A 17,072-nucleotide genomic window follows, 5' to 3' on the forward strand; every position below is an offset into this window, starting at 1 on the left:
CTTAAACAATCTAATTACCATTTAAAAAGTAATAGCCATCTGTGTGGGTTTTTTTGTTGTTGTTTATTCATTTATTTCTAACTTCTTATTAAGGAATATTTTAAATGTATCCATAAGTGGAGAGACTAGTGAAATGTACAGTCACCCGGCTTCAACAATAATCAACTCATGGCCAATTTTATTTTATCCATATGCCATCCTCTCACTACTTTCTCAAATTTGAAGCAAACCCAGACATCATATTGATGTATTCATAATTATTATAATTTATATCTAAAAGATAAGATTTATTTTTAAAACCTTACTACTAGACTTAAAGAGAAAAAAACAATTTCTTACCTATTTATTTTTAAAACTACGTATGCTATTTTGCATTAGCCTTTACTAGCAAATAGTAAAAAACTAGTTTTTTTAAGTGACAAATTTTGTTTGTTCTTCGTAGATTATAAACTAATGGATAAGAATTTTTAAATTATGACTTTTGGTTATACATAAAGAAATTACTTGCTGTTTTTGTTTTTTTCAACATCTACAGGCAAAACATTTCTCAGAGCTCCTCAAATGAATATTAATATTGCCACTTGGGGAAGGCTAGTAAGAAGAGCTATTCCTACAGTAAATCATTCTGGCACCTTCAGCCCTCAAGCTCCTGTGCCTACTACAGTGCCAGTGGTTGATGTACGCATCCCTCAACTAGCACCTCCAGCTAGGTATGTGTCTGAGATTTTAAGCATCTCTTATACAAAGTTATTGGGACATTCTTACGTACTGATTATAGCAGGTGTACTGAGTCTTGCTTTTTTCCCAAGTAGTATTTTGAAAGTAGTGTTCTGTTTACTTAAAAAGTAAATTGTTTGCTTTAATTTTAAAGCTGTTTAAAATACAGACTTTCTATTACTGTTTTGGTGAGTTACTTTATCTTCTATAAGTGATTCTACAGTAACCAAATTGGACTTTGATCTTGAGCCTGAACCTCCTCCAGCCCCACCACGAGCTTCTTCTCTTGGAGAAATAGATGAATCTTCTGAATTAAGAGTTTTGGATATACCAGGACAGGCAAGCCATTTTAAACCTTGCATAATTCCTCTTCACTGAATGAATTAGCAATAAAAGCATCATAGTGAATAAGGCGTGTCTTTCCATTTAAAATTGCCACTGAACTGTGAATTTATGGTTTTTTGTTTGTTTTTTGTTTTTGTTTTTGTTTTTTGAGACAGAGTTTCACTCTTGTTACCCAGGCTGGAGTGCAATGGCATGATCTCGGCTCACTGCAACCTCCGCCTCCCGGATTCAAGCGATTCTCCTGCAAGCCATTCTCCTATCTCAGCCTCCTGAATAACTGGGGTTACAGGCACATGCCACCATGCCTGGCTAATTTTTGTATTTTCAGTAGAGATGGGATTTCATTATATTGGTCAGGCTGGTCTTAAACTCCTGACCTCGGGTGATCAGCCCGCCTCGGCCTTCCAAAGTGCTGGGATTACAGGCATGAGCCACTGCACCCAGCCGAATTTATGTTTCTTATGGTCTAGTCTCAGCTAAATTAGACTGAGTTGGTAGGAGACAACCAACTTCTTAATGTTGGCATGAAATTGTCATTAGCCTCTGGATGCTCATGGTCCAGAAGAGATAGAATAGGCTGCTTAAACTAGAGGTAATATAGGAGTGTGGTTGATACTACATGACATACTGCCTGAAATACTATTCTTCTTCTAACTTGATTAACATACATAATAATGTGTTAGTTTTTCATTGTTTTGGTTTTGTTTTGTTTTGAGACGGAGTTTTGCTCTTGTTGCCCAGGCTGGAGTGCAATGGCATGATCTTGGCTCACTGCAACCTCCGCCTCCTGGGTTCAAGTGATTCCACTGCCTCAGCCTCCCTAGTAGCTGGGATTACAGGCATGCACCACCACGCCCACTAGTTTTGTATTTTTAGTAGAGATAGGGTTTCTCCATGTTGGTCAGGCTGCTCTTGAACTCCTGATCTCAGGTGAGCCGCCCGCCTCGGCCTACCAAAGTGCTGGGATTACAGGCATGAGCCACCGTGCTCAGCCCAGTTTTTCATATTTTTTAGATAAGTTTAATATAAAAGCGATGGCTCCAGCTACTCGGGAGGCTGAGGTAGGAGGATTGCTTGTGGCTGGGAATTCAAGACCTCTCTAGGCAACATAGTGAGACCCACCTCTAAAAAAAGAAAAAAAAATTTTTTTAAAGAATGAGTATCTGAATTTTACTTTTCACTCCAACATTTATATTGACTTTTGAAATGTTTTTCCTTAATTTTATCATTATCAAATAAGTTGTTTTCTGGGTATTTCTATGGATTCACGTGTATTTAATATTTTACAGGATTCAGAGACTGTTTTTGATATTCAGAATGACAGAAATAGTATACTTCCAAAATCTCAATCTGAATACAAGCCTGATACTCCTCAGTCAGGCCTAGAATATAGTGGTATTCAAGAACTTGAGGACAGAAGGTAAAGAATATATACCAAATTTTGCGACTACATGTTTGGTACCATACTTTATTGTCTTATTATTAATTGAAATTTCTCTTTTCAGATCTCAGCAAAGGTTTCAGTTTAATCTACAAGATTTCAGGTGTTGTGCTGTCTTGGGAAGAGGACATTTTGGAAAGGTAATCTTTTTGGAATTTTTTGGAATATCTACAACATTAATAACTCAAGTGGAAAATAATTATTTTAATTTTATTTCAGGTGCTTTTAGCTGAATATAAAAACACAAATGAGATGTTTGCTATAAAAGCCTTAAAGAAAGGAGATATTGTGGCTCGAGATGAAGTAGACAGGTTAGTTTTTAAAAATGAAATTGTTTATTTTTCTGAATTTGTAAGTTAAGAGAAATGATATATGTATTACAACAGCAAAACTTTATGATTTTACAGTAATATGTGAAGAAATTAAATATAATGTATCTATATTTGACATAAGGTAGACATTAGTTTTTCTTTTTTGCCCCTTTTTACCCTTCTTGTGACAATTAACTGGTTAATGGATACCAAAAAAAGATAGTGAAATGTTTGAACTAATTTTGTTAAGTTTTTTATATATGGAAATATTAAAGTGTTTATATGGAATAGAAACTGTTATTCATCTGTGGTTTTGTGGGGCTATATTTCATTCTGTCTTAATGGAAATGACAAAGTCATTTACAAATAATCTACAGTTAATGGAATGGTTTAAAGTATTTTACAAAGCAGAATATGTTATCTTATTTTTTTCCTTTTATTTTTTTTAAAAACATGTTTTTTGACCCTAACGTCTGGGTCTAATAAAGTAAGTTGTGGTATCTTATACAATTGTTTTTTTATTTTTTGTTTATTTATTTATTTATTTTTTGAGACAGAGTCTCACTGTCTTCCAGGCTGGAGTGCAGTGGTGCCATCTCGGCTCACTGCAACCTCCACCTCCTGGGTTCAAGCAATTCTCCTGCCTCAGTCTCCTGAGTAGCTGGGACTACAGACGCATGCCACCACGTCCAGCTTTTTTTTGTATTTTTAGTAGAAATGGGGTTTCACCATGTTAGCCAGGATGGTCTCGATCTCCTGACCTCATGATCCGCCAGCCTTGGCCTCCCAAAGTGCTGGGATTACAGGTGTGAGCCACCGTGCCCGGCCCCACAATTATTAAAATGCAAGGATTTGGTGGGGGTTAAGATTGTAATTCACTTAGAGAATATACTTTAAAAAATGACTATCTTAATACAGAATAATTAAATATGGACATTATTGTATAAAAATGGCATATTTATCACAGAAAGAGGCTTTCAATGGACATTTTTCTTACACCACTGTAGGAGGCATATGTTAATATTAATGGTAGACAGCTCTGTACAATGAAGAGAGCCCTGGACTATGACTGAGAAGGCTGACTTTTCTCGTCCTCATTGCTCCTCCTTAGTAAGGATTGACCCTAGGGCATTTCACTGAACATCTTTAAGCCCCAGTTAACTCATATATTTAAAAATATATTTGTTTTGGTAATACTTGCCTTAATGAGTTGTCTTGCTATGTAGATATGCCAAATTGCAACTTTTAATGTTTTTTTCCACCATATGGGTAGTTCTTAGAATAAGGACAGGCCTCAAAAGGTTGAGATTTATTTTTTTATGTTATATAAACTTTTCCTTTTGGATTTTCCTATTTATTTTTCACCTCTGTTTCTTTTTCACTGTTTCTCATACACCTCAATCACATCAAAATAAATGCTTTCTTGATATCTAATACTAAAGAGCTTGCTGGATATTTATAAAATATTCTGAGTACCATATTACATGTTTAGAATTATTTTTATGTTATACAAGCAGATAATTAAAGCAAGTCTTTGATCCCACCAAAGCAAGTCTTTGATTCTAAGTCTGTTTATAATTGGAATAATAGAAGGGTCAAATGTTTTCCTTTCCTGAAGGAATATTTGCTTTTCTCCAGATTCTTAAATGGTAAATTCATTTATTTTCTAAAATAATAGGAAACTGTTTACTACTTCTATTAATCTTGATTTACGTGGGCTTCTGCTACCTTGTTACGTCTTTGTGCTGAATCTTTGTAGGAAAATGCTTTCTAATGAAATCTATAGAAAGTTTGGATCACAGGATGATGCTGTAGCCAGAATCTAGGCCATTACCTCTACTGAAAATTAATCCAGTCTTGTGTAGAGACAGGGTCTCACTGTGTCACCCACACTGGAGTGCAGTAGCATGATCCTAGTTCACTGCAGCCTTGAATTCCTGGGCTCAAGCCATCCTCCTGCCTCAGCTTCCCATTGGGACCACAGGTGCATACAACTGATCCATCTACATTTCTTTCCCCCATAGTGTCAGGGTCTTGGTATGTTGTCCAGGCTGGTCTCAAACTCCTGGCTTCAAGCGATCCTCCTTGGCCTCCCGAAGTGTTGTGATTATAGGTGTAAGCCACCACACCCAGTCTTAACTTAAATCTCCACTTTTCAGTAACATGAAAATTTAAAAATCTCAAGTAGAACTGGTATAAAAAGAGAGAAAAGAAAAATCCAAGAGTGAGAAATAAAACACACTTTTAGAGAAATTTGAGGAATGAAGGTAAGAAAAAGGAGTACTTTTAAATTTCTAGCATACCTGAAAGAAGGCAAGAAAAAAATTTATAAGTTTTTTTTTAAGACTAGCTTTTTTTTTTTGAGACGGAGTTTTGCTCTTGTTGACCAAACTGGAGTGCAATGGCATGAATTTGGCTCACTGCAACCTCTCCCTTTCAGGTTCAAGTGATTCTTTTGCCTCAGCCTCCCTAGTAGCTGGGATTACAGGCTTGCACCACCATGCCCTGCTAATTTTTTGTATTTTTAGTAGAAATGGGGTTTCACCATGTTAGCCAGGCTGGTCTCAAACTCCTGAGCTCAGGTGATCTGCCCGCCTCAGCCTCCCAAGGTGCTGGGGTTACAGGCATGAGCCACCACACCCGGCCAAGACTAGCATATTTTTAAAAGTAATGTATTTCATTACTTGCAAGTATAAATAGTAAATAACTCAAGCTAAACTTATTATAACTGAGCAGAATTTTAAATATTTACTTTCCACTTCCTAGCTCATCTTTTTAAGCCATAGAGTTTGGTGTTATTGTTTATTTTTTAATAGCTGTTCCTAGTATACTTTATCTATATATTTTTTGAGACAGAGTCTCACTCTATTGTCCAGGCTGGAGTGCAGTGGAGTGATCTCGGCTCACTACAACCTCCGCCTCCCGGGTTCAAGCGATTCTCCTTCCTTAGCCTCCCAAGTAGCCAGGATTACAGGTGTGCACCACCATGCCCAGTTCATTTTTGTATTTTTAGTACAGACAGGGTTTCACCATGTTGACCAGGCTGGTCTCAAACTCCTGACCTCAGGTGATCCACCCGCCTCAGCCTCCCAAAGTGCTGGGATTACAGGCATGAGCCACTGTGCCTGGCCTACTTTATGATTCTTAATGACAGTTCTCATAGTCTAAATTTTCTTTCTATAGTCTGTATTATATTATTTTACTTTGAAATTACCTTTTTTAATAAATCATAGAAAATTTCAAATCAACCTCTTTTTAAGTGAACACAAATTATGGATTCTAAAATAAAGTGTTAGATAATTTATGAACAAAGATCATATTCTGTGTACCTACCATTAGTAAAACACTCTAAGTCCCATTTGCCCTTCAGTTGCTGAGTAAGGATATTATGTTTATGTTACTGCAATGCCTCCTCACTCAGCTTCCTTTTCTTACCAATTTATATTTCAACACAACAGAATAGGGTTGGAAGTATATTTTTGTGTTTGTAGAAGAAAGCACAGCTAACCAGCTTATGTAGGATTCAATTCTAAGACCTTGGTTTTATTAATGATGTTTTCCCCTGACTAAAATAACTATTTATATAAGTTTTCAGGTTTCTAACTTATCTGAAAATGTAATGAACTTTGAAGGAAGTACACGAAACATGTTAGGATAGAACTAGTAACTTAGAGAAACGAGACATTAATACATTATGTAATAAAGGTGGCTAGATAGAGTTGAGGTTAAAATAAGCAATACAAACAATAGCAGTTCTTAGGAGGAAATCAGTGTACTGGTGTACTACTACACCATAGTACATATAGTGTACTACTCCCCAGGTGTGCAACTCTTCTAGTCTTCCCTATTTTATTAAACAGCAATACCAGTTGTTCAAGCCAGAACACAGTCATTCTTGGTGCTCTTTTCCCCTTACCTACAACACTCAAACTATTAGCAAGTCTGGTCAACTTCACCTCTAGGATATATCCCAAACCATACAAAGCATAAAACCAATAGTAAATCTCTATTGTATTTACTCTTAAATTTTCATTCCACATCTATAATCTGATGAAATATCAACTGACATTTGTGTTGCACTTTCACTTTGACCCCTTTATTTGATTCCTGTCATCATGATCAGAAGTATTTAGAGCAAGATTTAGGTAGAGTCTTATAAAAGAGGTTGGATTTTTGCTGGGTTTTGGTAGACAGAAGTTATTTGGGAATAAGGAGAGAAGAGTGATGACAATTTAGAGGGAAATGTTCTGGACAGGATGAATAAGGCTTAAAGTTTTAAATAAAGTTGGATTGTTGCATGGACTTTTAGGGACAATACACAGTTTAGATAATGTGGGACAAGTTGAAGATTCGTATGTAATAGCTTTTTTGTGTGCTATAAAATGCATAAAATTAAAATTATTTTGACAATTTGGATCTATAAAAGAGCCTTGCTCCTTTATCTCGCTGTCCTAAGACATCTGTGCAGATACCTCATCATTATTGTAATTCAGATAATTCCTGTGAATGGCATTGAAATCATTTCAAGGGGTAGTCCAGTCAATGGGTCTCAAATGTTTTATACCACTTATATGTTCCACCCAGTTCTAACCTAACACCTGTTCAGTTGAGAACAGTTGTTTCATTCATAAATTCACCCATAATGAATTAGTGAGTCACCCATAAATAAAAACTATGGACAGGGGCTGGTATGGTGGTTCATACCTGTAATCTCAGTACTTTGGGAGGCCAAGGCAGGAGGATTGCTTGAGACCAGAAGTTCAAGACAAGCCTGGGCAACATAGTGAGACCCTGTTCCTATCAAAAAAATAAAAGCCAGGCATGGTAGTATGTTCCTGTAGTACCAGCTACTCAGGAAGCTGAGGCAGGAGGTTCACTTGAGCCTAGGAGTTCAAGGTTACAGGGAGCCATGATGATATCACTGCACTCCAGCTCCTGAAAGACAGAGCAAGATCCTGTCTCAAAAAAACACACAACTATAGACAATGAAGAGAACATATTTGTCATCTACTTAAGCCCAAAACATCTTTGTTTTGTCTTATTTCATCTGATTATTTTATCTACATTTAGCCAAAATTCAGATTGGCTTAATAAAGCAGATGTTTTAGAATACATCTTACTGATCTTGTCTAAAGCAATTTTTAGTACATTATTTTCTAGTAAATTTAAATGATGACAAAAATAAAAACTGTTAACTTTTTAATCTTCTATGAGTTTATTTATAATAGTGCCTTAATCTGTAGTAACATTTAGAAAGTTTGTCAGGTATCCTCTTTATTTTCTAGTCTTTTAAATTAAAATTTTATGCAGCATATCTGTACTGTTCAACTTCATATCAATTTTATATGATAAAAAATTGAATACTATAGCTTGTGAATTATAGATACTGTCTTTGAAATTACCTTCACCACAAACTTTTAAATTTTTCAAAGTACGCTTTAAATTGCTAAATTCTCTGACCAATTCCTGAAGAATTTTCATATTTCACCCTTAATTAAGCCTTTTAAAAAATCAACTGTAACCACTAACCATGTATGTGCTATAGACTATCAATGTGAATGCTATAATCTTTTAAAGTTTCTATTAATATATTTCAACTGAAGTTATTTATTTTAGGTAGGTCAGTTTTCATAGCACATATAGCAAAACTAAGACACATGTTAGGATTTTTAAGTTATAGTTAAAATTTTGCTTATTTTTAAGTTTAGTAATTTATAAAGAATGTTATTTCCAACTAGAATTATTTTTAATCTGCTTATTTTAAAATATTTTCTTTTACAGCCTGATGTGTGAAAAAAGAATTTTTGAAACTGTGAATAGTGTAAGGCATCCCTTTTTGGTGAACCTTTTTGCATGTTTCCAAACCAAAGAGCATGTTTGCTTTGTAATGGAATATGCTGCCGGTGGGGACCTAATGATGCACATTCATACTGATGTCTTTTCTGAACCAAGAGCTGTGTGAGTATGCTTTAGACATTTGTCTGAGTTTTTCCATGACTGATTTCATTCTGGGAAGGAAAAGAGATTCTTTGAATTTTAGATTTTTTTTCCTAACAGAAAATAGATCTCTGCAAGAAATACTAGAACTCCTTACTTACTTTTTTGCCATATACTTTTTGTATGTATTCTGTTGTCTGTGTTGAAAATGTCATGGATTGCCCAAAACCACAATTGATACTTTAGATAAGCAATTTAGATTCATTTTAGTAAAATTTCTTTTTTTGCTATTAGATTTTCTCACTAGAGAATGCCATCCAGAATTACAGCTTTAAAGACAGATTATACTCAAAATGCACTGTTAAGTTTTTGAAAAGAAAGTACAGAAGAGTCTGTATCATATATTTATATAAAATATTTGTATTTGCCTTTCTAAAGCATAATTTAAAAGAATATCAACTATTTGCGTCCTTGTGCGTAAAATATCTCTGAACAAATGTAAAAGAAACTGGTATGTGTGTTGCCTCCAGACAAAGAGATAAAAAGCAGACTTTTCATTGTAAACTCTTTTTGTAGTTTTTGAATTCAAGGTTTGGCTTATTCAAATAAATAAGAATAATAGTAAACACTTGAAATTATATATGCATGTGTGTATATTTTCCCTGTTAGTATCTTAATTTTGTAGCTGTTAAATGGTGGAGCTAGGATTTGAACCTAGGAAAGTGATATTAATACCTACACCCTGCATGCTGGTGTTTACCAAATTTGTGTTTCCAGCCCCGTCCTCTTACCTAAACTTCCAACTCTAATAATATTCAGTGGTCAGCTAGTTTTCCATTTGTGTGGCTAAATATCTTATTTAACAACTTAAACTGAACTGATTTTTTCCATTTTTCTACCTACCTCATCTACTACTCCCCAGGCCTGCTACTCTTAGTCTTCCCTATTTTATTAAACAGCAATACCAGGTTCAAGCCAGAACACAAAAAGTCATTCTTGATGCTCTTTTTCCTTTAACTTCAACACTCAAACTATTAGCAAGTCCAGTCAACTCCACCTGTAGAATATATCCCAAGTCATAGGAAGCATAAACCCAGTAGTAAATCTCTATTGTATTTACTCTTTAGTTTTCATTCCACATCTATAATCTGATGAAATAGCAACTGACATTTGTGTTGTACTTTCTCTTTGATTCCTCCATTTGATTCTTGTCATAACCATTAGAGGTATTTAGAGCAGAGAATTGTAATACTGTCATAACCATCAAGTTTCAGATGAGGGACATAGGGGTTAATTCTAATGGGTACTGAAGCATTTTAAAAGGAGGGAAAAGCCAGAAAGTAGTAGAAGGCTACGAATAATTCATTCCCTCAATATTTAAGGCAGAGCATTACAATTATGCCTAACCTTATGCTGCCATGGGAATTTGTTTGGTTTTATTTTTTATGCTTGTTTTTGTTTTTAAAATAATACATAAATGTAGTTTGCCTTAAGAAACTGTTATTTTTGCTGAGAATATAAATTATATACAAATAAAACCATAAAGTCCAGTGAAAATACAAGAATACAATGCTGCATTACAGAACTCCAAATCTGAAAGTACCTCCCTTTATCATTCAGTTCTCAGATCAAAGGTCATTTCTTTAAAGGTAATTTTCTGAGTTCCCTAGCTAAAATATCACATCACTAACCAATTCAGTTCACTCTATTTTCTGTATTATCTTTTTCATATCATTTTATTTCTACATGAAATCATCTGATTTATTTTTAAAATTTTTATTGTCTATCTTATTTCACTTAAAAGAGAGGAGCAAGAACCATATCTGTCCTGTTTATTAGTGAAACACCTAAAAGAATACCTGGAACATATTAGGCAATCAGTGAATTTTTATTGATTGAAACCATAGAATCAAAATAGCTTGATTTCTAGCTTTGTTGTTTCATAGTCTAACTTTAGACAAATTATGTTTTCTGAGCTTCATTATCTGCTCTGTAAAATATCTTAAGGCTTGATTGAAGATTAAATAAGCTAATAAATGAAAATAACTGACACAATACCGGACAAACAGGAGCATTCAATAAAATATGTATTTTAGATGGTATACGCAATTAATCAAGGCAGTCTGTTTACAAAGAAAGAAATCAGCGGGGAGCGGTGGCTCCATGCCTATAATCCCAGCACTTTGGGAGGCAGAGGCAGGCAGATCACTTAAGCTCAGGAGTTCTAGACCAGCCTGGCCAACATGGTGAAACCCTGTCTATACTAAAAATACAAAAATTAGCTGGGCATGGTGGCAGGCGCCTGTAATCCCAGCTATTTGGGAAGCTGAGGCAGGAGAACCACTTGAACCCCAGAGGCAGAGGTTGCAGTGAGCCAAGATCACGTCACTGCACTCCACCCTGGGCGACAGAGTGAGACCCCCCCAAATTAAAAAAAAGAGAGAAATCAAGGTATTTTTATAATTGTTACAGTATTGTTTTGCCACAAAAATAAGTTTGCTAAGAAAATTATGTTTAACTATCTTAAGCAATTTTGTTTGTTTGTTTGTTTTGAGACAGAGTCTTGCTCCGTCTCCCAGGCTGGAGTGCAGTGGCACCGTCTTGGCTCACTACAACCTCTGCCACACAGGTTCAAGAGATTATCCTGCCTCAGCCTCCCAAATAGCTGGGACTACAGGCGCGTGCCACCATGCCTGGCTAATTTTTGTATTTTTAGTAGAGACGGGGTTTCACTCTATTGGCCAGGCTGGTCTCAAACTCCTGACCTCAGGTGATCTGCCTGCCTCAGCTTCCCAGAGTGCTGGGATTACAGGCATGAGCCACCACACCTGGCCATCTTAAGCAATTTTAAGCTCACGTTTATTTTAATAAACTTCAGTAGATCCTTAAAACTTCTGGTAAGTTGTTTAATTTTTAATGTATAATTAAGTAAGTATTTCTAAGTAGTTGCATTTTATTTTTGTTTTTTATTTCTGTGTTGGGAAGTCTAAGCCCTGATGAAACTGCCTGGTGGACCCTGACCACCACCCCTGCAGCACAAGCCCCGCGTTTAAAAATTATAGACCCGTGCTCACTTCAGCAGCACATACACTAAAATTGGAACCTTATAGAGAAGATTAGCATGACCCCTGTGCGAGGATGACACACAAATTCGTGAAGCATTCCATATTTTTCTGAAATTGAGGCAGTAATTAATAGCCTACCAACCAAAAAAAGCCCAGGACCAGATGGATTCACAGCCAAATTCTACCACAGGTACAAAGAGGAGCTGGTACCATTCCTTCTGAAACTATTCCAAACAATAGAAAAAGAGGGGCTCCTCTCTAACTCACTTTATGAGGCCAGCATCATCCTGATACCAAAACCTGGCAGAGACACCACAAAAAAAGAAAATTTCAGGCCAATATCCCTGATGAACATCGATGCAAAAATCTTCAGTAAAACACTGGCAAACCAAATCCAGCAGCACATCAAAAAGCTTATCCACCACGATCAAGTCGGCTTCATCCCTGGGATGCAAGGCTGGTTCAACACACACAAATCAATAAACGTAATCCATCACATAAACAGAACCAATGACAAAAACTACATGATTATCTCAATAGATGCAAAAAAGGCCTTCGACAGGCGGAGGTGGCAGTGAGCGGAGATCACGCCACTGCACTCCAGCCTGGCGACAGAGCAAGACTCTGTCTCAAAAAAAAAAAAAAAAAGGCCGGGTGAGGTGGCTCATGCCTGTAATCCCAGCACTTTAGGAGGCCGAGGTGGTTGGAGCACCAGGTCAGGATATCGAGACCAGCCTGGCCAACATGGTGAAACCCCATCTCTACTAAAAACACAAAAAAATTAGCTGGGTGTGGCGGTGTAGGCCTGTAGTCTCGGCTGCTCAGGAGGCAGGAGGCAGGAGAATCGCTTGAACCCTGGAGGCAGAGGTTGCAGTAAGCCGAGATCGCGCCACAGCACTCCAGTCTGGGCGACAAAGCGAGACTCCGTCTCAAAAAAAAAAAAAAGAAAAGAAAAGGCCTTCGATAAAATTCAACACTGCTTCATGCTAAAAACTCAATAAACTAGGTGTTGATGGGACGTATCTCAAAATAATAAGAGCTATTTATGACAAACCCACAGCCAATATTCAACATAGTATTGGAAGTTCTGGCCAGGGCAATCAGGCAAGAGAAAGAAAGAAAGTTTATTAAAATAGGAAGAAAGGAAGTCAAATTGTCTCTGTTTGGAGATGACATGATTATATATTTAGAAAACCCCATCATCTCAGCGCAAAATCTCCTTAAGCTGATAAGCAACTTCAGCAAAGTCTCAGGATACAAATCAATGTGCAAAAATCACAAGCATAATACACTGATAATAGAGAACTGAATCATGAATTAACTCCCATTCACAGTTGCTACAAAGAGAATAAAATACCTAGGAATACAGCTTACAAGGGATGTGAAGGACCTCTTCAAGGAGAACTACAAATCACTGCCCAAGGAAATAAGAGAGGACACAAACAAATGGAAAAACATTCCATGCTCATGGATAGGAAGAATCAATATCTTGAAAATGGCCATACTGCCCAAAGTAATTTATAGATTCAATGCTATCCCCATTAAGCTACCATTGACTTTCTTCACAGAATTAGAAAAAACTGCTTTAGGCTGGGTGTGGTGGCTCACGCCTGTAATCCCAGCACTTTGGGAGGTTGAGGCGGGTGGGTCATTTGAGGTCAGGAGTTTGAGACTAGCCTGGCCAACATGGTGAAACCCCGTCTCTACTAAAAATACAAAAATTAGATAGGCATGGTGGTACACGCCTGTAATCCCAGCTACTCGGGAGACTGAGTCAGGAGAATTGCTTGAACCTGGGAGGTGGAGGTTGCAGTAAGCAAAGACTGTGCCACTGCACTCCAGCCTGGGCAACAGAGTGAGACTCCTTCTCAAAAAAAAAAAAAAAAGAAAAAGAAGAAACTACTTTAAATTTCACATGGAACCAAAAGAGCCCGTATAGCCAAGACAACGCTAAGCAAAAAGAGCAAATTTGGAGGCATCACGCTACCTGATTTCAAACTATACTACAAGACTGCAGCAACCAAAACACCATGGTACTGGTACCAAAACATGTATATAGACCAATGGAACAGAACAGAGGCCTCAGAAATAATGCCACACATCTACAACCATCTCATCTTTTGAGAAACCTGACAAAAACAAGTAATGGGGAAAGAATTCCCTATTTAATAAATGGTGTTGGGAAAACTGGCTAGCCATATGCGGGGAACTGAAACTGAACCCCTTCCTTACACCTTATATAAAAGTTAACTCAAGATGGATTAAAGACTTGAACATAAGACTCAAAACCATAAAAACCCTAGAAGAAAACCTAGGCAGTACCATTCAGGACACAGGCATGGGCAAAGACTTCATGACTAAAACACCAAAAGCAGTGGCAACCAAAGCCAAAATTAACAAATGGGATCTGATTAAAGAGCTTCTGCACAGCAAAAGAAACTGTCGTCAGAGTGAACAGGCAACCTACAGAATGGGAGAAGATTTTTGCAATCTGTCCATCTGACAAAGGGCTAATATCCAGAATCTACAAGGAACTGAAACAAATTTACAAGAAAAAAAACAGCCCCATCAAAAAGTAGGTGAAGGATATGAACAGACACTTCTCAAGACATTTATCCAAAAAACATATGAAAAAAAGCTCATCATCACTGGTCATTAGAGAAATGCAAATCAAAACTACAATGAGATACCATCTCACGCCAGTTAGAATGGCGATCATTAAAAAGTCAGGAAACAACAGATGCTGGAGAGGATATGGAGAAATAGGAATGTTTTTACACTGTTGGTGGGAGTGTAAATTAGTTCAGCCATTGTGGAAGACAGTGTGGTGATTCCTCAAGGATCTAGAACTAGAAATATTATTTGACCCAGCCATCCCATTACTGGGTATATACCCAAAGGATTATAAATTCTGTAAAGACACATGCACACGTATGTTTATTGGAGCACTGTTCACAATAGCAAAGACTTGGAACCAACCCAAAGGCCCATCAATGATAGACTGCATAAAGAAAATGTGGCACATATACACCATGAAATACTATACAGCCATAAAAAATGATGAGTTCATGTCCTTTGCAGGACATGGATGAAGCTGGAAACCATCATTCTTAGCAAACAAACACAGAAACAGAAAACCAAACACTGAATGTTCTCATAAGTGGGAGTTGAACAATGAGAACACCTGGACACAGGGAGGGGAACATCACACACCGGGGGTCGGGGGCTAGGGGAGGGATAGCATTAGGAGAAATACCTAATGTAGATGACGGGTTGATGGGTGCAGCAAATCACCATGACACGTGAATACCTATGTAACAAACCTGTACATTCTGCACATGTATCCCAGAACTTAAAAGTATAATTTAAAAGTAAATAAATCAAACAAATCTTTTCAGAAACCTATATATATATATATATATATATATATATATATATATATATATATATATATATAAATAGAAAAAAATAAAAATGCGAGGCACCATGGCTCATGCCTGTAATCCCAGCACTTTGGGAGGCCGAGGCGGGCAGATCACCTGAGGTCGGAAGTTCGAGACCAGCCTGACCACATGGAGAAACCCCGTCTCCACTAAAAATACAAAATTAGCTGGGCGTGGTGGCACATGCCTATAATCCCAGCTACTCAGGAGGCTGAGGCAAGAAAATCACTTGAACTGGGGAGGTGGGGGTTGCGGTGAGCTGAGATTGTGCAATTGCACTCCAGCTTGGGCAACAAGAGCAAAACTCCATCTCAAAAAAAAAATAAATAAAATAAATAAATAAAAATTATTGACCCATTTTTAATAAAAATAGGTAAATATAAAACATAGCTATATTATCTACATGTGAATGTAAATATATTCTGAAAGTTTGGAATAACATTAAAGTGACAAGAATTGTTATCTGTATGAACGGCAGTGGAATGAGGTGAGATGGAGATAGATGGATTAAATAGTGTACTTTGGAGAAGCATATTACGTTTTATAGAGAAAATATTCATGTTATTACTTTTATAATTAAAAACTAATTATCCTAAGGGTCTGTTCATAGGCTATTCTACACTGAAGACATTTGCATTTTTAAATCTATTCATTTATTTCCTCCTTGTTCAATAAGCCTATCATGTATATTAGGCATTATGCTAATGCATTTAGGATAAAAATTGAAAAAGTCAAACATGGTCCTGCGCCTCAAGAATTATTCTCTCTCGACCCAGGTTTTTTGAGATCCAAACCTGCATACCCAGCTTTTACATATCATCACCTGCCCCACAGACAAAGTCAACCTGTCAAATGCCAAACTTAGTTTTGTCACACAACCTTGGCTACCTCTATGTTTCTTTATCTGTTCATTCTAAGATGGAAACCTTGAAAGTTACCTTTAGTTCTTCCCACTTCCTTATCCTGTAATGGGATACCACCTTCTGTCATGCTAATTTTTAAGTTTTTGTGAATCTGTCTCTCTGTTGCCACTACAGTGGATGTTCTCATGATCTTTTCATCTATAATATGATAAAAGCCTTATCTGTTCTTTTTTCCTCTGGATCTCTACCTACTTCTCCATCCTTCGCATTGCTACCAGAAAACTTTAACATAAATGCCATCATTCTCCTCTGATTAAAATGGTTTGATTCTCTGTCACTAAGAGAAAAAATTTCAGTATCCATAATATGACATTCAAGGTCCTTCGCCCAGGATATCTTTTCAGCCTAATCTCCTACTTCGTCCCCAGATACACCCATCCTTTACTTCAGCCACACCAAACTTACTTGTTATCAAACATGTTACGCCTTTTGCACCTCTATTTCTTTTTTCTCTCAGGTAAGTACTTTATTATTCCCCTACAAAACTTCTGCCTGTCACACTGTCCTTTGTCCTTATGTTATATTGTAATTCCTCCTGCAGAACCAGATCAAATGTCCCCTCTGAGGTTCTCAGTGACTCCACTAGGCAAAGTTAATGGCTTCCATTGTCAAGACTGTACTTTTCTCATTTTTAAATTTTACCCCTAATATCTAGCACAATGTGATACATAGTAGGGACTAAATAAATATTTGTGAAATAAATTAATGATAGGTCTGCTTTGAAGTATAAACATATAAGCTGGGATTCAAGAGCAATAAAATTTATTAAACTCCTGTTGATTTAATTCTTCAAACAGATTTTATGCTGCTTGTGTAGTTCTTGGGTTGCAGTATTTACATGAACACAAAATTGTTTATAGGTAAGTTAATTTTTAATTTTTTCTAATGGC

At 36.7% G+C, this 17,072-nt stretch overlaps 1 protein-coding gene and 1 pseudogene across 7 annotated transcripts in view; both read left to right on the forward strand.

Moving 5' to 3' along the window:
* PKN2 (protein kinase N2) overlaps positions 1–17,072 on the forward strand; it is a 151,983-nt gene that overhangs the window by 120,689 nt on the left and 14,222 nt on the right. For all 7 annotated transcript variants that reach the window (XM_047425224.1, NM_006256.4, NM_001320707.2 and 4 more), the window contains 7 exons: positions 536–710; positions 930–1,056; positions 2,352–2,482; positions 2,568–2,643; positions 2,723–2,814; positions 8,596–8,772; positions 16,980–17,042. In XM_047425224.1, coding sequence (XP_047281180.1) covers positions 536–710; positions 930–1,056; positions 2,352–2,482; positions 2,568–2,643; positions 2,723–2,814; positions 8,596–8,772; positions 16,980–17,042 — 841 coding nt within the window. The remainder of the gene's footprint in view (positions 1–535; positions 711–929; positions 1,057–2,351; positions 2,483–2,567; positions 2,644–2,722; positions 2,815–8,595; positions 8,773–16,979; positions 17,043–17,072) is intronic.
* Positions 11,818–11,924, forward strand: RNU6-125P (RNA, U6 small nuclear 125, pseudogene; annotated as a pseudogene).

This window comes from Homo sapiens, chromosome 1, assembly GCF_000001405.40.
Source record: "Homo sapiens chromosome 1, GRCh38.p14 Primary Assembly".
Lineage (NCBI taxonomy): Eukaryota > Metazoa > Chordata > Mammalia > Primates > Hominidae > Homo > Homo sapiens.